This window comes from Homo sapiens, chromosome 9, assembly GCF_000001405.40.
Source record: "Homo sapiens chromosome 9, GRCh38.p14 Primary Assembly".
In the NCBI taxonomy this organism is placed as follows: Eukaryota; Metazoa; Chordata; class Mammalia; order Primates; family Hominidae; genus Homo; species Homo sapiens.
Window position 1 is genome coordinate 124034080 of NC_000009.12, and position 19615 is coordinate 124053694.

General features: G+C 50.9%; 1 long non-coding RNA gene across 1 annotated transcript in view, besides 5 other annotated features; it reads left to right on the forward strand.

The window, feature by feature from the left end:
- Nucleotides 1-1568: 1568 nt before the first annotated feature.
- LOC107987037 (uncharacterized) overlaps nt 1569-19615 on the forward strand; it is a 48715-nt gene continuing 30668 nt past the window's right edge. Inside the window, exon 1 of the long non-coding RNA XR_001746580.2 lies at nt 1569-1912. This is a non-coding gene — a long non-coding RNA (uncharacterized LOC107987037). The remainder of the gene's footprint in view (nt 1913-19615) is intronic.
- Nucleotides 6828-7362: an enhancer, noted in NCBI's record as "H3K4me1 hESC enhancer chr9:126803186-126803720 (GRCh37/hg19 assembly coordinates)". NCBI's record gives its function as "activates a minimal SCP1, AML or CMV promoter by ChIP-STARR-seq in primed H9 embryonic stem cells {active_cell/tissue: H9 hESC(primed)}" and the evidence as "EXISTENCE:reporter gene assay evidence [ECO:0000049][PMID:30033119]".
- Nucleotides 6975-7184: a silencer, noted in NCBI's record as "silent region_20256". NCBI's record gives its function as "represses an Ori minimal core promoter by ATAC-STARR-seq in GM12878 lymphoblastoid cells {active_cell/tissue: GM12878}" and the evidence as "EXISTENCE:reporter gene assay evidence [ECO:0000049][PMID:35858748]".
- Nucleotides 7225-7284: a silencer, noted in NCBI's record as "silent region_20257". NCBI's record gives its function as "represses an Ori minimal core promoter by ATAC-STARR-seq in GM12878 lymphoblastoid cells {active_cell/tissue: GM12878}" and the evidence as "EXISTENCE:reporter gene assay evidence [ECO:0000049][PMID:35858748]".
- Nucleotides 7363-7895: an enhancer, noted in NCBI's record as "H3K4me1 hESC enhancer chr9:126803721-126804253 (GRCh37/hg19 assembly coordinates)". NCBI's record gives its function as "activates a minimal SCP1, AML or CMV promoter by ChIP-STARR-seq in primed H9 embryonic stem cells {active_cell/tissue: H9 hESC(primed)}" and the evidence as "EXISTENCE:reporter gene assay evidence [ECO:0000049][PMID:30033119]".
- Nucleotides 11456-12251: an enhancer, noted in NCBI's record as "H3K27ac-H3K4me1 hESC enhancer chr9:126807814-126808609 (GRCh37/hg19 assembly coordinates)". NCBI's record gives its function as "activates a minimal SCP1, AML or CMV promoter by ChIP-STARR-seq in naive H9 embryonic stem cells {active_cell/tissue: H9 hESC(naive)}" and the evidence as "EXISTENCE:reporter gene assay evidence [ECO:0000049][PMID:30033119]".

Below are 19615 nucleotides of genomic sequence, written 5' to 3' on the forward strand. Positions count from 1 at the left end.
AGCAGAAGGCCTGACACAGAGTAGGGCTCGATGCATTGTAGTGAATGACAGACAGGTGATGTGAGGACTCTGTGGGTGGAGAGCAGGAATGTGTGTATCCAGGCACCCTCTGGCATTGCTGAATGCACCAAGCAGGTGTGGTGTCTGTCCCCCAGACTTCTGACACCCCTCATTTCTCACTCTGAGCCCTGCTTCGGAGTACTCTGCTACCAGTTTCATTGGATGTCAGCAGTTACCAACCCAAATGCCCCTGCAATGGCCCACCAACTTGATCATCCAGATGGAAAATCATGGCCACCTGGAGGAGGAAATAGCCAGGCAAGAGTGGGCAGAGGAACCATCCAGCCCAGGACTGGGGTCTCTCTCTCCTCCTCCCTCTGCCATCATTGTTGGGATAGGGTGGAGGGAGTGAGTGGGGCAGGAACGGGCTGAGTGTGCTTCAAGCCCAGACTCACTCACTTTCTGAAATGTTTTTTGAAAACCCCAAGCACATTGCGTGCGCGCGCGCGCACACACACACACACACACACAAACAAACAAAAAAACACTATTGTTATTGCTATAATGTCTGGCAAACAGTAGGAGCCCAATAAAATTTTTGTAAACTTTTATATTACATATACAGTGTACACAAGTCTGTAATAAACAGCCTGATTAATGTCTTTCAAATGAACACACCCATTTAACTACCACTCAAATCAAGGTATAGGACACTTTCAGCACCCAGAAGTCTCCCTTAAGGCCCCTTCCTTCAATCCCTCCCAAGATAGCTCCTATTTAAAAAAATCTGTTTTTGATCGATACATTTTTTGCTGAATGAATTCAGGAGGCTTAGCAAGATTAGCCTACTTACAGCTAGTGATGGAAGAGCCAAGCTTTGAGCCAGGTCTATGCCCTCAGATCCAAGGCTCTTACCCTCAAGCAGACACATGTTCATAGTTACCCACGCAAGCAAGAGGGTTAAGAACCTCAACTTTTCTACCTGCCCAATGGGGTCATGGAATCTGTCTCCCATTGATGACTCTGTGAGGGAATGCAATCAGAGGGCCTGGACTGCAGACAGACAGACACCATGACGCCAGTTACCCCCAGCAACTCATACGGGTGCCCACAGACACACATGCACGCATGCACGTTCTTGAGGCATTCATGGATAGATAGACCCACAGGCTAAGGTCCTCACACCCAGACAGCACCACACAACGTCACACACACACACAGATGCTCGCAGACAGACGTAAACAGGCCCAGATGCTCATCAATCCACCTAGACAGACACCCAGACCACCCCACACAGGGAGACCCGCTCATAAACCCGGGTGTGCACACATGCAGATGCTCACAGGCACCCAGACGCCCCCGCGTAGCCCGCTGTGCCCCTTGCTCAGGCACCAACAAAGCTGAGTCTGATTCCTATCTTGTCTGTCAGCACTGGCACCCAGTTGGAGAGGGCCCTGGAATGATGCCCGGGGGTCCCCCACCCCTGCATAAGAGCACGTTGAGGAGCCAGGGCTGCTGTTGGGCCAGGGGTGGGGACACCTTGGATGGGGCGTTGCTCTCCCCAGGCTCAGAGACTAAGACACACACAGACTTGGGAAGATAGGAACAGAGACAGGGACAGAGACAGAGATACAGAGGCAGAGAGAGAGAGAGAGAGAGACATAGGCAGAGAGAGAGGCAGAAAGGCAGTAGACAGGGAGAGAGAGGAAGGGAATAAAACAGCAACACAGAGAGTGATGAGGCAGAGACCCACAGGGATGGAGACAGAGACACGGGAGAGATGGTGAGACACAGAAAGATTGAGATTGAGAAGGAAGACTTGGTAAAGGGAGACCCTGGGACAGACTCAGAGGCTGAGAGAGACCAAGACTGAGAGACAGCAGAAGAAACAGAGATGGCTCCTGTGAGGCTGGTAAGGAGAGACACTGAGGGAGAGGGAGAGGTGAGCTCAAAAGCCAGACAGAGGCGGAGCACGGTGGCTCACGCCTGTAATCCCAGCGCTTTGGGAGGCCGAGGTGGGTGGATCACGAGGTCAAGAGATAGAGACCATCCTGGCCAACATGGTGAAACCCCATCTCTACTAAAAATACAAAAATTAGCTGGGCGTGGTGACATGTGCCTGTAGTCTCAGCTACTCGGGAGGCTGAGGCAGGAGAATCGCTTGAACCCAGGAGGCAGAGGTTGCAGTCAGCCGAGATCGCGCCACTGCACTCCGGCCTGGTGACAGAGCAAGAGTAGGTCTCAAAAAAAATAAATAAATAAAAGCCAGACAGGTAAATCAGCGGCAATTCAGACTGAGTGACAGCAGGTGAGGGGAGGCAGGTGCTGAGGCTGGTAGGCCAGCTCTGTCCACCATGATGGGAGGGAGGGAGACAGTACCATCGCCACAGCCACCTGCAGCTCTGGGGACCTATCCAAACCTCCCCGCATGCTGACTGCAGTGGGGATCGGGGGCCACCCAACCCTCTATGAATATGGAGAGACACCTTGTTCTTGAGACCCACACCCAGGCCTGGCATTAGGTGGTCTTCAGGGGCTGGGGTCTCCACCCTAGCCCTACCCCACCCTGCCAAGTCTCCCTTCCTCCAAGGTGGGCAGGTCTGGAGCACAGGGAAGAGACCTTCGCACTCTTCTCTGCTCTGAAAGTTTTGGCAAGATACTAAGCCACTCTGAATCTCAGTCTCATAATCTGTAAAATGGGACCAATGGTGTTCACTTGCAGGGTGCTGTGGGGATTCAGTGAAAGTCTATGTACCTGCTTTATTCATGGTGTGACTAACTCCCAGGGGGCCACAGTGATGGTGTGAGGAATTGTCTCAAAGTTGAAAGAGGAGATGGGTTGGGTTGGGCTCTTGAATGAACAGAAGGTGATCAGATGGAGAAGGGAGCCAGGGAGGATTCCTGACTGAGGAGCAGCCCAGGTCACAGGCAAGAGGATGTGCCGCAGGCTCATGAGTGGAGGGCAGTTTCCCGGGTGGGGATGTCCTGGAGAGGCTGGTGAAACTCAGCTCACAGGGGGCCTTATCTAAGGCTGGGGAACGTGATGAGGCCAGGGGCCTGGAGGTGCAGCAGGACTCCCCTGCTCTTCCTTGGGTGACAGGACCCCTCTCCTCCTTGTAGTTATGCTGGAGTCCCACGTGGCAGCACTGGCTTCCTGGAGAGCAGTGTTTGTTGCTGTGGGCTGCATGACCTGCTGGCAAGGATGGACAACTCCAGGCTACACCTGCCAGCCGCTGCCCCAGGGAGGGACATTGTGGGCTCTTTGGCTCCTGGGGACTCTGTGTGGTGTGACCTCGGCTCACTGCAACCTCCTCCTCCCAGGTTCAAGTAATTCTCCTGTCTCAGCCTCCCCAGTAGCTGGGATTACAGGCGTGTACCACCACACCTGGCTAATTTCTGTATTTTTAGTAGAGATGCAGTTCCACCATTTTGGCTGGGCTGGTCTCAAACTCCTGACCTCAAGTGATCTGCCTGCCTCGGCCTCCCAAAATGTTGGGATCACAGGCTTGAGCCACTGCACCCAGCCTGCCAGCAGGCCCTTTATACCTTCCTTTTTACTCTTTGTCCCTCCCTCTCTCCTCAACCCAGTGCTGGGCACCCGAGACTGGTGATGTGGAGATGATTTGGCCAACAGCCCTTCCCTCTGGCTCCCAGCCTCTCTGGGAGACAGGTACAATAGCCAGCTACTGTCCAGCAGGAAGGAAGCCTGGGAATTATGGGAGCCCAAGGTGGGAGAGTCTCATTCTGCAAGTGGTGAAAGTCCTGTGTAACACTCTGCAACTGGTGATGCGTTCTTACAGTTATTATCTCATTGAATCCTTGCCTCTAGGAGGCAGGGATGAGCACTTCGTTTCACACAGAAGGAAGCCAAGGAGAAGCCACTTGCCCAGGATCACACAGTTCAGGGGCCACAGAGACATTTCCATGGCAATTCAATTGAATTCAGCCAGCATGAGTCAATTCGTCCCTGGCGCCAGGCATGGTGGCTAGGGGTACCTAGGAAATTGCGATCCTTGCTAGGGGCTGGCAGATGCAGACCAGGTGCGAAGGCAGCTGGGACTAGGCATTCAAGAAGGCAAGGAGTCCAGAAGAGGCTGCCAATACAGACTGGTGGTTGGGGGTACTTTCTGAGTTGGAAGAGCAGGCAATTGACCTAGAAGTGTTTGAGTAGGGGGGAGGGACTTGGGGAGAGGGCAGAAGCACATGCTCAGGGTGTGGTATTTTTCCGCTAGTGAACAGCACCCATGTGGACAGGAGAAAGAGAATCACTGCTAATTCTTTGGAGCTGGAAGCAGCCTAGAAGAGCCTCTGGCCGGAGCTGCTCGTCAGAACCACTCCAGCGGCGTTTCCACATTCCCCTACTGGCTCGCCACCACTTCCTGGGGAGGAGCCCAGGCTGGTGTGTCTTATAAAAAACTTGTTATCATGGAAAATTTCAAACATATACAAAGTAAACAGAAGGGTACAATGAACCTCCATGTACTCCCTGCTCAGCTTCCAGTTATCAACATTCACTCAGTCTTTTTTTTTTTGAGACTTAGTCTAGCTCTGTCACCCAGGCTGGAGTGCAGTGGTGCGATCTTGGCTCACTGCAAGCTCTGCCTCCCGGGTTCAAGCGATTTTCCTGCCTCAGCCTCCCGAGTAGCTGGGGTTACAGGTGCCTGCCACCATGCCTGGCTATTTTTTTTTTGTATTTTTAGTAGAGACAGGGTTTCACTGTGTTGGCCAGGCTGGTCTCAAACTCCTGACCTTGTGATCCGCCCACCTCAGCCTCCCAAAGTCCTGGGATTACAGGCGTAAGCCACCGTGCCTGGCCAACATCCACTCACTCTTGTAACCTCTATACTCCACCCACTCCCTGGTTCCAACTTGATGATGATGATTGATGACAATGACCTGTGCATTTTTTAAAAGTCCCTCAGGGATTCGGACAGGCACATCCTTCATCTTAGGGATGATCAGGGTAAGCTCAAAGAGGGGAAGGGGCTTACATGTGGGCACCTAGCCGGGATGCAGCAGAGAGGGGGTTGTCTGGCTGAGGGACACTTAGTGAGTGCCAGGCCCTCTGCTGGGCAGTGGGGTCATGAGCGAATATGATGGTCCCTGTCTTCATGGAGCTCAGAATCTACCAAGGGAGACAAATGCCAAACAACCTCAAAAGTACTTACTGATGTTTGTGATGAGGCCTATGTGAGACCATGAGAGTGTATACACGGGCAAGGAAAAGGAGAGCTTCTTGGAGAAAATCATCAGTAAGAGACCAGCTAAGTGTATGGAAATTAACTCGCAAGTGGGAGGAGGGGAGAAAGGAGTAATAGAATGTGCAAAGGCCCTGAGGCTCAGAGGTCCACAGCACTAAAAGGTGGCCAGTGTGGCCGGAGCTCTCAGAGCAAGGGCCAAGGTGGTGGGAGGTGGGGCTGAGGACACAGCCAGGGGCTTTCCAGGCAGCATGTCTGGGCCTCAATTCCAAGAGCACCAGGAAGCTAGAAATGAAGGCAGGGGAGGAGGAGGCAGGGGGTGGATGTGAGGGGCCTCTTAAAGCTGCCAGGTAATGGGACATCTGGCTAGGTGGAGGCAGAGGGAATGGACCAGCTATGGGGGGAGGGAGAGCCAGGAGGGATCAGGATCATAACCAGGTGGATGCTGTGGCCCTTCACTGCAATGAGGAAAGTCATCAGGAAGAGGAAGGGGGAAGATGCTCGGGGATTTGTGGTTTAGATTTGCTGAGTTTTTGATGGCTTTGAGACATCCAAGTGCTGGCCTGGTCTTTCCCCTCAAGGGGCTCCCAGTCAGAAGGAGGAGGCATGAAAGGGACCTGGGACACTTACCCAGTGCTTCTCTTCTTTGAATTTCCCAGCTATCCTGAGTAAGAGTGTCCTCAAGCTGGCATTTGAGGCTTGGTCACAAGTTAGTCCCTGCCCACTTCTCTGGTGCAGGACTTGGGACCTACCTACCCATCTTTGGGCTTAAAGCCAGCCAGGTGCACCAAACTCACCAGTGCTTTGCACACTGGGTGGGCTCTCTGCCTGAGGGTCTTCTCAAAAACTCCTGCTCAAATGTCCCCTCCTCTCTGGAACCTTCTCTGCTGTCACTTCCACCCTTCTCACCATGCAGGGCTGGAGGGGGCAGGGGTGGATGTGAGGGGGCTCCTAAAGCCACCAGGTAATGGGACATCTGGCTAGGTGGAGGAAGAGGGAATAAACCAACTGTAGTTGTCTGTTCTCCCCGCATCCCTACCCCAACGCCAACAGGGCCACGTGGGGCTGGCCTGTGACTGCCCGGTTCAGTATGAATCTGTGGGTTCTTGTTTTGAAAGTATGTTATACTCTCTCTTTCCTGCTAGTGTAAGCTCCATGACTCAGCCTCTCCATCTTCATATTACTCCTGGCCCGGATGAGTCCCTCCTAAATAGTTCCTAAGTCCTGGAGAGGGTAAATGTTAGCATAAGCGTTCACTATGGTTGAGAGTCTAGTCCTTAGGGGTTCGGTGCTGGATTCTGTCCTGCCGCTTACTGCTGTGGGATCCTGGGCAAAGTACTGAACCTCTCTGAGCTTCCAGGATTTGTCGTCTGTATAACGGGGGTAGTGATGACACCTACTTCTTAGGGTTTCGTGAACGTTGAATGGTGTAACTCACGCAGCCATAGCGTTTAGCAGAGTGCCTGGCTCATCGCAGTGCTCAGTTCCTGGGAGCTGTTGCTATTTATTCAGCTCCGTCTTTCCATTCAGGCACCTCTAGCGTGCTTGCCCCTTGAAAAGAGGAGAGGGAGGGCTCCCACTCTGGGACGGCCGCAGTGGTTTTCAGAGCTTGGGGTGGGGGTGGGCTTGGGGCGGTTCCGGGCATGGGGGTGGCCGCGGGCCTGGAGCTGTAAGAGGAGGTCCCTGGGGACTGGGGAGAGGGGGGCGGAAGCCGGAGCCGAGGTCGGATCCGGCGAGGTGGGCAGAGCAGACATCCTGCGGGGGCGCCCCCAGCCCGGACCGAGGCACGGTCCCGGGGGAGCCGGCCCGGGCACCGCGGCCATCGGAGCTGGGACGCCGGGTCTGGGGCTGCAGAGCCGCCGCAGGGGCCGGACGAGGGCGCCCCCTGGCGGGGCACCGCGGCATCGCCCCGGGTCTCTCACTTCCTCAGCAGGCTGGGTGGGGTCTTCGCGGAGGAAATTCCCCTCAGGGAGGGGTGTCGGGGACTCCGGAGAGCTGTTTCGGGCTCCGGACGCTTTCCTGGGCTCCAAAACTGGGAGTGACGCTTTTGAGCCCTCACGTGTGCCGCGTACTGCATTAGGCAGATGGCAGCTCACGGCACAGGCATTGGCACGCGGTGGGTCCCCCAGGGTCCTCTTCTCCCTTAGCCTCATTCCTCGGGCTTCTGGGCAGGGGTGTTGGGCTCAAGCCTGAGAGGGTCCTCCGGTATGGAAGGGGTGAGGGTTGTGCAGCTCCAGACCGCCATCCTGGGTGCCCCCAGGGCTCACTCTCCCTGCGGGCCCCCCACTCCCAGGACTGGACCCTGTGTATGGCGTGTGATGAGTGGGGGTGGGGCTGCGGTGGGGCTGGGTGGAGGTCTGTGATGTGTGCTGCTGTCAGGGAATCTGAGTGTGGCTGTGCCGTGGTGTTAGTGTGGGAGCGTCTGTATGTGTTGAGACGTGTGTGTTTTTGTTTATTTTTAGGGGGATGTGTACAAGTATGTCCGACTGTGAGTGCGTCTGTGATCAGCGGTGTGTGTGTGTGTAATCAGATGTGTGTGTACTCAGATGTGTGTGTCTGTGTTCAGAGGTTTGTGTGAGTCCGTGTGATGACTGTTCAGGTGTACACAGCTGTTCAGGGTGGCTTCTGCTCGTGTGATGCAGGTTGGGGTGTGTGTTGGGGCTGAGGGGTGAGCTGAGCCTGCCTGAGGAGGGAGCGAAAGCCCTAATCAATTTCCACCTAACAGAAGGGTGGCGGCCCCCCTGTCCTGTCTGCTTCCCTCAGCCCCATCAGGACCAATATTTTCCTTTCCTGTCTCCCCTGACCCCCACCTGCACCAAAGGCCAGCTCTTTATGCCTCATTTTAGAGACAAGAAAGCCAGGCTGAAGTGCTGGGGCACTGGCCCAGGAACACTCGGCCAGAAAGCAGTGGAGCCAGGGTCTTGGCTGGAATCCCAACTCCAGCCTAATTCTTGCTTCTCCCAGGAGGGCCCTGTGCACCCTTCGCCCAGCCCGAGGCTGGGGTGAGGACGACTTTCTGGGCTGGGCTGTGTGGGGAGCAGGACACAAAAGGCCCAGTGTCTGCCCCTGCCTCCCCCTCCTGGCCCTGCCCTGCTCCAGGAGCCGGGTGGGTGTCCAATGCCAGACTGGGCAAAGAGGGGCATGTGATACTCATGCTCACGAGGGCACCCAGCCCCAGCACTGGACCCACCTGCCCCCCGCGCCGTTCCATGGGCTGGCTCGGGTTGGGTGTGATGAGGAAACAAAGCTCTGGCTGCATTTTAGGATCCTGGCGCCAGCTCTCAAAGCGCTCCAGCTTGCCCTGCTCTGGGAAGGGATTGATGAGTAATTAAGATCATGATGATATCAACACAACATATTAAAAGAAACAGAATGATTGCTACTGTTTGCTGAGGCCTGACTATGTGCTGTTGCTAAGTTCTGGGGGGGCAGTGATGCAGGCTGGTGAGGACCTTGGACCTCACCAGAGCCAGGATTATTTCCCAGCAATGTTGTCCAGCTGTGTTACCTCGGGCAAGTTGCTTAAAGTCTCTGCTTCAATTTCCCCACTGTAAAATGACAGGAGGTGAACATATATATATATATATATACACACACACACACACACACACATATACTTTAAAACCCATCCTGCCATTGAATACGTGCAGCAAGTATTTGCCCTTATTTTTGCGATCTTTTTGGCTCCCTGTGGTGACCTAGGAGGTAGGTATTGTTATTCCCACTCTACAGACAAGAAAACTGAGGCTGAGCCATTTGCTATAGGTCACAAAACAAGGGGTGTCTGGGCTGGATTCTGATGCCAGGTCCTGTATCCCAGGCTGTATTCTCCCACTGACATTGATAGGTTAGGTCATTGCTGATAGTGTTAACCCTCTAAGAGTCCAGAAAGTGCTTCCATGTGCATTGACTTTGACTCTTTGACTCTCATCAGTCTTTTTTTTTTTTTTTTTTTTGAGGTGGAGTTTCTCTCTTGTTGCCCAGGCTGGAGTGCAGTGGCTCAATCTCGGCTCACCCCAACCTCTGCCTCCCAGGTTCAAGTGATTCTCCTGCCTCAGCCTCCCGAGTAGCTGGGATTACAGGCATGTGCCCCCACGCCCGGCTAATTTTTGTATTTTTAGCAAAGACGGGTTTCTCCGTGTTGGTCAGGCTGGTCTCGAGCTCCCAACCTCAGGTGATCTGCCCACCTCAGCCTCCCAAAGTGCTGGGATTACAGGCGTGAGCCACTGCGCCCGGCAACTCTCATCAGAGTCTTAAGATGAGTATTTAATATTAGCATCTCCCTTGGATGAATGGGGAAAATTGAGGCCCAGAAAGAGACAGTGCTTTTTCCAAGGTTACACAGCAAGTAAATGGCAGAGTCAGCATTCTAGGTCTCTCTATTAATAAACAGCATGATTGTAGGCAATTATGGTTTGGGGGTATGCCTCCTGTGCTACTGTGTGTCGGGCTGCTTGCTAACGCTGTGCCCACATGATCCTTTGCTTGCTAACGCTGTGCCCACATGATCCTTTGTGATTCTTTTTTTTTTTTTTTTTTTTTTTTGGAGATAGAGTCTCACTCTGTTGCCCAGGCTGGATTGCAGTGGTGTGATCTTGGCTCACTGCAACCTCCATCTCCCTACTTCAGGCGATTCTCCTGCCTCAGACTCCCGAGTAGCTGGGACTACAGGCGCCCCCCACCATGATGCCCGGCTAATTTTTTTTTTTTTGTATTTTCACTAGAGACGGGGTTTCACCGTGTTAGCCAGGATGGTCTCTATCTCCTGACCTCATGATCCGCCCGCCTCGGCCTCCCAAAGTGCTGGAATTACAGGCGTGAGCCACCGTGCCCGGCCGATCCTTTGTGATTCTTATAACATCCTCTAGTCATTCCAAATTCTACTGGGTTTCTTCACTGGTCCTGGCTCTGTGTATACATGTATCTCCACCCCTCTGAACTTGGACCCCCAGAGGACCGGACCAAAATGTGATTTATCATGGAGTGCCCAGGGCCAGCACTGGGCCTGGCACAAAGTAGGTGCCCAGGCTGGCAGGGAATACATGGTTCCACAGGCAAGAGAGGTTATCAAGAGAAGTGGGTTGATGGGAGGCTGGGTGTGGTGGCTCACACCTGCAATCCCAGAGTTTTAGGAGGTCAAGGCAGGAGGATCTTCGAGGCTACAGGGAGCTGTGATTACACCACCGCACTCTAGCCTGGTGGCAGATTGAGGCCCTGTCTCTAAAAAGGAAAAAGAAGAAAAGAGGGGGTTGATGGGAACTGGTGAGGGAATATAACTGGACCACTGGACCAGTGGACTCAGGATGGGAGGTCATGAGGCCACCCTGAAAGACACATGTCTGTGCTGAGACAGAAAGGGCAGGTGGCTGTGACATATTTACATTCCACGGTGACGTGGTCCTGTGGGATATTTTGTGCCAGACACGAGTTATGATTTTAAGGGTGTAGTATTTATCTCTTTTAATCCTCGAAATGTCTCACTTAATTCTCAAAACTTGAGGTTGGTACTTAATTCTCAAAACTTGAGGTTGGTACAAGTATTAGTCTCCTTTTACAGATAAAGAGATTTAGGTATAAGGTGGAGGTTATGCAACTGGCAGAGTTGGGATTTGAACCCCGGCCCTCCGCCTCCCTCCAGGCAAAGATGGATGTGGGTGGGGGTGAGACACACCCTCACTTGTCCACTTTCATTCGTCCCACAGTTCTGTGAAGGTCTGCCTTAGCTCTCCTTTTCTTTTTTCTTTTTTTCTTTTTTTTGAAACAGTCTCACTTTGTCTCCCAGGCTGGAGGGCAGAGGCGCGATCTCGGCTCACTACAGCCTCCGCCTCCCGGATTCAAGCGATCCTCCCACCTCAGCCTCCTGAGTAGCTAGCTTTCCTCAATTTTAAATGAGGAAAGCAGGCTCCGTATATAGAGGAGTTCTCCCCTAATTTTCTCTCAGCACAGGCCCAGTCCGCCGTTCCTTCCTGGTTCCCATCCCTCCCTCACCGCCGCCCGTGAGCAGGGCCGGGCACGCAGCAGGCATTCATGGAGTGCTGCTGATGGATGCCTGGACCGGGTCCCCTGGGCTCTGAGCCCGGGGCGGGGGTGGGGCCAGAGCCGGGCCCCGGAGGGGTTGGGAGGGCGCGGAGGGGAGGGGCGCAGGGGGTGCGGGTTGGGGGTGCGCAGGCGGTGCGGCTGGGGCTGGCAGGAGAAGGGTTAAGAACAAGCACTCATTAACTGCCTCCCGCTTGCTGGGCCCACGTGCAGGGTGGCCTGGGCTTAGGGTGCGGGGAGCCTTTGGGTGGCCCCCTGAGAGCTGGTCTTCCAACACATGGGACCCCCGGAGTTCAGCCCGAGCCCCCGGGGAGCTGTCGGGACGGGTCCTCTCTGGGGTGAGCCAGCGTCTGGGGCCCGCGGCTCCCCGCGAGCAGGCCGGGAAACGCCTGTTGCTGCTTTTGTTTTTCCATCAACAACCGGGCTTACGTAAACTCCTCGCCGGCTCTGGGCTGCCAGCGCGGGGGAGGCGGCCTTATCTGATAGGGGCTGTGCCAGGGCCGGGGTTCCCTGCGTGTCCCGGCACAGGCCCCGCGGAGAGAGCCCGCGCGGTGGGCGGGGGGCGGGGAATGGCACCCCCGGGGGGGCGTCTGTCCTCCCAGTCCCAGAGGGGACAGCTGGGTCCTCTCCCTGCAAGACATAACCAGGGGCAGTGGTCCTCAACCTCCGACCTGCAGGGGTCCGGCAGGAAAAGGACCCTCTTCACCCGCGCGCACAGAGAGGGGTAAGGGGCCTGTAGTGACGCTGGGGTGGCCTCGTCACCAGGGTCACCTGGCTTCCAACCCCAGCTTTATGCTAGGCTGGTGGTGCTCGGAGTACAATGTGCTTGGAAAAATGGGTCCAGGAATCAGGGGAGGAGGGAGGAGGGGGAGACGGCGGAAACTTTTTGTTTTGAATTTTTTTCAAAATTCCAGAAATGCGCGATAGTACAATGAACTCGTACGTGCCCTTCCTAGATTCACCAAGTGTCAACCTTCTGACACTTTTGCACGCTTGCTGTCTCTCCCCATCCCCTCCCCATGTATATCCTTGAGGTGGACAATATTTTTATCCCCATTTTACAGGTGGGGAAACTAAGGTTTAGATAGCGGAGATAACTTGTCCAAGAAAGTATCGAAGCTGGCATTTAATCTCAGATCTCAGATGAAAACTTTTACTCTTTTGCTTGGTGATTTTTCTGAGTTATATACATTTCCTTCTCCCTCTCTCTTTTTTTTTCTGAGCGGTTACCACATACACATAGCATGTGTAAAATATGCAGTTTCCCTAGCCCGACATCCTAGTTCCTTACTTAAAAGCAGGCTCTGTTACCTGTTTCTTGCCCATCTTTCCAGAGACATTCTATGCCTGTGAAGACATGTTCATAAAACATATTTTACAAAATGGTATTTGTGTGTGTGTGTGTGTGTGTGTGTGTGTGTGTGTTTTGTTGTTGTTGTTTTGAGACAGAGTCTCTCACTGTACTCCCAGGCTGGCGTACAGTGACACGATCATGGCTCCCTGCAGCCTCCACCTTCCAGGATCCAAGCGATCCTCCCACCTCAGCCTCCCTAGTAGCTGGGACCAGAAAGTGCACCACCATGCCTGGCTAATTTTTCTATTTTTTGTAGAAATGGGGTTTCGCCATACTTGTCAGGCTGGTCTTGAACTCCTTGGCTCAAGCAATCCTCCTGCCTCAGCCTCACAAAGTGCTGAGATTACAAGTGTGAGCCACTGTAGCCAACCTTACAAAATGATATTGCATTGGACACATTTTTCTGCACTTTGCTTCCTGCTCCCTGCCCCTTAACTATCATGTAACAGAGACTTCTCCATACTGGAAATATAAAATGCTCCCTTCTTTTAAACCAGTGCATAGTGTTCCACTGAACAGATGTTCCAGAATTGATTTCACCATCCCCTATGGACAGGAAATTAGGCCGTTTCCCATCTATTGTTATTATAAGCAAAACTGCAACACATATCCACACTCATACATCAATTTGCATGTGCGCGAGTGTATTTGTATGGTAAATTCCTAGAAGTGGAAATGCTGGGTTAAAGGGTATGCGGATTTTGAATTTACTTAGATATTGCCAAATCGCTCTTCAGGGAGGTTGCACCAATCTGCCCTCCCACTCACAATGAATGAGAATGTCTGTTTCCCACACTCTTGCCAACACAGCGTGTTATCGAACCTTTTTATCTTTGTCAATCTGTTAGATATAAAATAATATCTCGTAGCTGTAATCTCATTTCTCCTACTACAAGAGAGGTTGACCATGTTTTCATATGACTAAGAATCATTTACATTTCCTTTCCTGGGAACTGTTTGTTTATATCCTTCGCCTATCTTTTAATTAGGTTGGTTTTTTTTTCTTCCTGATATGTAGGAGCTCTTAATATCAGCCCTTTGTTGATAACATATGATATGTCTATACTATATGTGTCTTTTGACTTTATTTATATTATTTGTATGCAGAATTAAAAATAATTTTTTGTGGCTATTTTATTGCTGGATTCAGTTTTTTAAAATCCATACTTTAAAAGGCCTTCTTTACTGTATGAATGTAAAGTACCCCCAGGTTTTCTTCATTCTAGAATTTGTTTTTGTGGAAGATGTGAGGTAGGGATTCTGCTCTTTCTCTCTGGGTGACTCTGGTTGTCCCAACACTATTGATTGAATAATCTATCTTTTTGTCATTGATTAGCAATGCCACTTTTATCATATACTAAATTCCTGTAATATATGTAGCATTTGAGTGCTTTAGCAGTTTCCCTGGGCTATCCTAACACATTCCCACAAACTGGCTAGCTGAAAACAACAGAAATTCATTCTCTCAAAGTTCAGGAGGCTGTAAATTTAAATTAAGGTGTCCGCAGGGCCACGTTTCTTCTGGTGTTGCTGGTGAACAGACCATGCCACGCATTTCTCCTAGCAGCCGGTGGTTGCGGGCATTCCTGAGGTTGTGGCAGCTTCACTCTAATCTCTGCCTCTGTCTTCACATGGCCTTCTCTCTGTGTTTATGTCTGTGTCCAAATTTCACTCATTTTGTGAGGACACCAACCTTTGGATTAGGGTCTAATCCAATATGTCCTTCATCCAGTATAGCCTCATCATGATTTAATTACATCTACAATGACACTGTTTCTAGTTAAGGGCATGTTTGCAGTACCAGGGGTTAGGACTTCAATGTATCTTTTATTAGAGGGGCACAATTCTACCCATTACAACTATGCATTCTTTTTTTTTTTTTTTTTCCTTTTGAGATGGAGTCGCACTCTGTCACCCAGGCTGGAGTGCAGTGTCTCTGCTCACTGCAACCTCCGCCTCCTGGGTTCAAGCAATTCTCCTGCCTCAGCCTCCTGAGTGGCTGGGATTACAGGCATGCTCTACCACGTCTGGCTAATTTTTGTATTTTTAGCAGAGATAGTGTTTCACCATGTTGGCCAGGCTGGTCTCCAACTTCCAGCCTCAGGTGGTCTGCCCGCCTCGGCCTCCCAAAGTGCTGGGATTACAGAAGTGAGCCACTGCACCTGGCCACTTTCAGTTTTTCTATTCTGTTCTATTGATCCATCTGTGTAAAATGCACCAATACCAGTGTTTAAAATATCATAGATTGATCTTATGTTCTAATATGTGTTAGACTAGTACCCACTCATTACTCTTTTCTTTCAAAATTTTCTTGTTTATATTTTCCTTGTTTATATCATATTCGTTGTTTATATGGAGTTTAGAATCAACTTATCGGCTTGCTTATTTTTAAAAATCTGATTGGTGTTTTTATCAGAACACACGCATACCATTTTACATGCTCAAGTTTTCATTTGTGCCCCTCAGCAATTTATTAATGTTCACTTCCAGTAAATCTCATACATTTTATTTTTGTTACATTGATTTCTAAATATTTTACCTTTTTGGCTGCTATCATAAACAGGAACTTCTCTTTCACTATCTCTTCTAACTGGTTCTTTACCTTGATGAGGACTATTAATTACAATATATTAATTTTGCAATCAACCACCATACTGAGTTTTTGTATTATTATTATGTATTATTATGTATTTTGAGACAGGGTCTCACTCTGTTGCCCAGGCTGCAGTGCAATGTTCATGGTCATCCCCGCAGCCATGAACTCATGGGCTCAAGCAATCCTCCTGCCTCAGCCTCCTGAGTAGCTGGGACTACGGGCATACACCACCATGCCTGGCTAATTTTTTAATTGTTTGTGGAGATAGGGTCTTGCTATATTGCCCAGGCTGGTCTTTTTTTTTTTTTTTTTTTTTTTTGAGACGGAGTCTCGCTCTGTCGCCCAGGCTGGAGTTCAGTGGTGTGATCTCGGCTCACCGCAAGCTCTGCCTCCTGGGTTCATGCCATTCTCCTGCCTCAGCCTCCCCAGCAGCTGGGACTACAGGCGGCTGCCACCACGCCCAGCTAATTTTTTTGTATTTTTAGTAGAGATGGGGTTTCACTGTGTTAGCCAGGATGGTCTCGATCCTCCTTGTGATCCGCCCACCTTGGCCTCCCAAAGTGTTGGGATTACAGGTGTGAGCCACTGCACCCGGCTACCCAGGCTGGTCTTGAACTCCAGGCCTTAAGCAATCCTTCCATCTTGGCCTCCCAAAGTGCCGGGATTACAGGCATGAGCTACCATACCGGGCCTCTTATATTATGTATAATGGCTTTTCAGTTGATTCTGTAAATAATAACCCATTTTTCCCCTCCTTTCTAATTCTTATACTTCTCATTTCTTTTCCTTGTCTAATTGTGTAGGCTGGTACTTTGTCAGAACAATGTTAAGTAATAGTGTTAATAACAGATGGCCAGGCAAGGTGGCTCACGCCTGTAATCCCAGCACTTTAGGAGGCCGAGGTGGGTGGATCACCTGAGGTCTTGAGTTCAAGGCCAGCCTGGCCAACATGGTGAAACCCCATCTCTACTAAAAAATACAAAAATTAGCCGGTTGTGATGGTGGGCGCCTGCAATCCCAGCTACTCGGGAAGCTGAGGCAGGAGAATTGCTGGAACCCGAGAGGCGGAGTTTGCAGTGAGCCAAGATCGCGCCATTGCACTCCAGCTCAGGCCGATGACAGCGAGACTCCGTCTCAGACAAACAAACCAACCACAAAACAAAACAAAAAATACAGACACACTTTCTTACTCTTGATCATAATGGGAATGCTTTCAGTGTTTCGTCTTTAAGCATGATGCTGGCTTTTGGGTTGAAATCAGTATTTTATCGTGTTTAAACATTTTCCTATTTTATTAAGAAAGAAAAGCTCTTTCTAAACTTTCTAGGCCATCTCCTTCTCTGGCCTCCTCTACGTGCAACCCAGACCCTGCAGTACTGAGTTAGTCACTCACCTCCTGAGTGCGCCATGTTGTATAAGGCATTCTAGCCATTGCCCCTTGCTAGTCCCTCTTCATGGAATACCCTTCCCCCAAGCTTCTCTCAGGCAAGGCCCAGATAAATAGCATCTACTCTGGGAAGCTTCCCAGGCAGTTCTGCCCTTGACCTTGTCTCCTCCAAGCCCTTCTCATGATGATATATATATAATTGCCTGCGTTCACCTCCGCTCTCCACACCAGCCTGTGAGCATCCTGGTGTGTGTGTGTGGGCATGGGGGTGACACGTCTGGGTTACTTCTGTGTGCTTGGACTAGGGCCCCGATAGAGTAAATACATGATCAATGTGGTTTTGGATGAATGAATACTAAATAAAAGCTAACATTTACCAAGTACTCAGTAAGTGCCAGGCCCCAGGGTAAGCACTTCCCACTCACTGTCTCATTTAATACAACACCCCCATGAGGTAGAGGTGTATTGTTTCCAACTTGAGATGAGCAAGTGAAATCTCAGAGAGGTTAAGTAACATATGCAAGGTCACACAGCCAGGAAGTGAATCCAGGTTGGTTTGACTCCAGGGCTGAGACTTTAAGTCTCTAGGCCATTCTGAATGGCTATAAATGTTAGCTTTTATAGCCATTAATACAGTACATGTATGAATGAACAAATAAATACAGTAAATGTATGAATGAACAAATGGTACACAGTGAGGCCTGGGAGAGTGAAGTGGTGCTAGGCTTGGACATGGCACCTGTCCAAGTGCCATGGAGAGGAGCCCTGAGATGGTGATTCCTTTATGTTTTTTCTTTTTTTGGTAAATACAAACCCTTGTGTCAAGGGCTGACTTTCAATAGATTGCAGCGAGGGAGCTGCTCTGCTGTGTACGAAACCCTGACGAGATGATGATTTTTTTTTTTTTTTAGACAGAGTCTTGTTTTGTTGCCAGGCTGGAGGATGGTGGTGCGATCTCGGCTCACTGCAGCCTCCGCCTCCCTGGTTCAAGCTATTCTCCTGCCTTACCTTCCTGAGTAGCTGGGACTACAGGCACACGCCACCATGCCCGGGTTATTTTTGTATTTTAGTAGAGATGGGGTTTCACCATGTTTGCCAGGCTGGTCTCGAACTCTTGACCTCAGGTGATCCACCTGCATCGGCGTCCCAAAGCACTGGGATTACAGGCGTGAGCCACCGCTCCCGGCCGAGGTGATGTTTCTTAAGTGACCCAGAGGGTGGAGCTAGGTGTGGGTGCAGGGGTGGGATAATGGAACTACCTGATCTGGTTGGCTCAGGACTGAGGGTTTTCCTGGAATACTGGACTTTCTAGTGCTAAAGTCAGAAAAGCCCTGGCCAAACCTGGCTGAGGTGGTCACGCGAGAGGTGCAGCCATAAGCTCTGGATTTCCTCTCTGTGTGAGCAAAGGATTCTCATGGTCAGGACTAACTAGGGAGCGGGGAGGCAGCCCTAGCAGAGAGTGAGCTCCCTGTCATGCGAGGTATAAAAACAGGACAGGGGACACTTTCACTTTCATATTTTCCCCTCATCTCTTTGGGATTCTTGGGTGATCTTAACTTGGGGTGTGGGCTCCCAGAATGGTTCTGCTTTGTCCCAAGCTGGAGGGTTCCTGGAAAGGACTGAGACAGGCTGAAGGCCCAGTTGCTCACTGTTTGATGGCTGAATGCTCCTCTGGATGGCCTAGGAGGTGTGTAAATGGGCAGAATTGACAACGTGTGTCACGTGAACCTCCTGCCAAGCCCAGGAGCTCCTCCTCCTAATAGCCCTCCTGAGGAAACCACCCAGGAAAGGGGGACAGAAAAGTGGGACTCAGAGGGGTGAATGAGGAGATGGGGTGGGCGGGGGAGCAGGAGCTTGAGTCACCCACCTCCATCAATTGAGTGATGCCACTTCCAGGCAGGAAAACCCACCTGGTCCATCTCCCAGGACCCGGAGTGGACTTTAAGCTCAGCAGAGCCCCCGGCACAGGCCCTGGAACTCTCCTGGCGGGGTCACAGCAGCAGGATAGGCAAGTCTTGCAGGGGAGGGCTGATGGGGGGAGCAGGTCCCCAGCAGGGTGTCTCCTCAGGGCCTGAAGTTTCTCCAGGTTGCAGCTGGGGATAGACACACAGGAATAAGAGAGAGAAATGGCTGGTGTTCGGGGTGGGGAGAGCTGGAATTTATTTAAAGGCCTCTGTACTTGTTGACTAACAGCGAGCTTGTATTTCGTTTTGTTTTGTTTTGGCTGATATATACTTTACAAAATTATGTTTGAAAGTGGCATATAACATGCATACAGCAAAGTGTACTTATGAGTGTATAGTTTGATGATTTTTTACATGTGTATGTACACCCATGTAATCACACCCACATCAAAGTATAGACATTTCCAGTGCCCCAGGAAGTCCCTTTTTACCTTTTCCTGGTCTATATCTGCCCTCAGAGGTAACTATGGTCCTGTCTTTTATCATCTTGAAATAGTTTTGCCTGTTCTTGAACTTCGTGGACATGGAATAATACAGTAAAATGCTCTTTTGTGCCTGGAGTTTTGACTTCGTGTTATTGATAGTGACAGGAGGCAGCCAAATGCCTAGGCAGATAGGGGTGGGTCTCCAGTGACACCTGACCTTCCAGCCACAGACAGTCCTGGGTAAATCCTCAGACCGGATTGAAAACCCACCTTCCATTTGGCATGCTTTCCTCTGATTGATCCTAATCCTTCACCTATTTTACCTACCCTTTCCTAATTGGTTTTCTACAATGTCATGCCCACCTTTGAGTGGTGTCTTTGCTTTAACCTTTTTTGCATACTCAAAAACCAGTCAGCATGCATTCCCTGTTATGATCCCATAAAAAGCCCTGGGCTCAGCCATACTGGGTACTTTTCCACCTTCGGGTAGGAGAACCATCCCTCATGTCACCTCTTTTTGCTGAGAGCTTTCCTTTCACTTAATAAATTCTACCCCACTCACTCTCTGGTGTCTGCATGCTTAATTCTTCCTGGTCATGAGACAAGACCCTGGACCTAGCTGAGCTAAGGAGCAGAAAGATAGCATCATTATAAT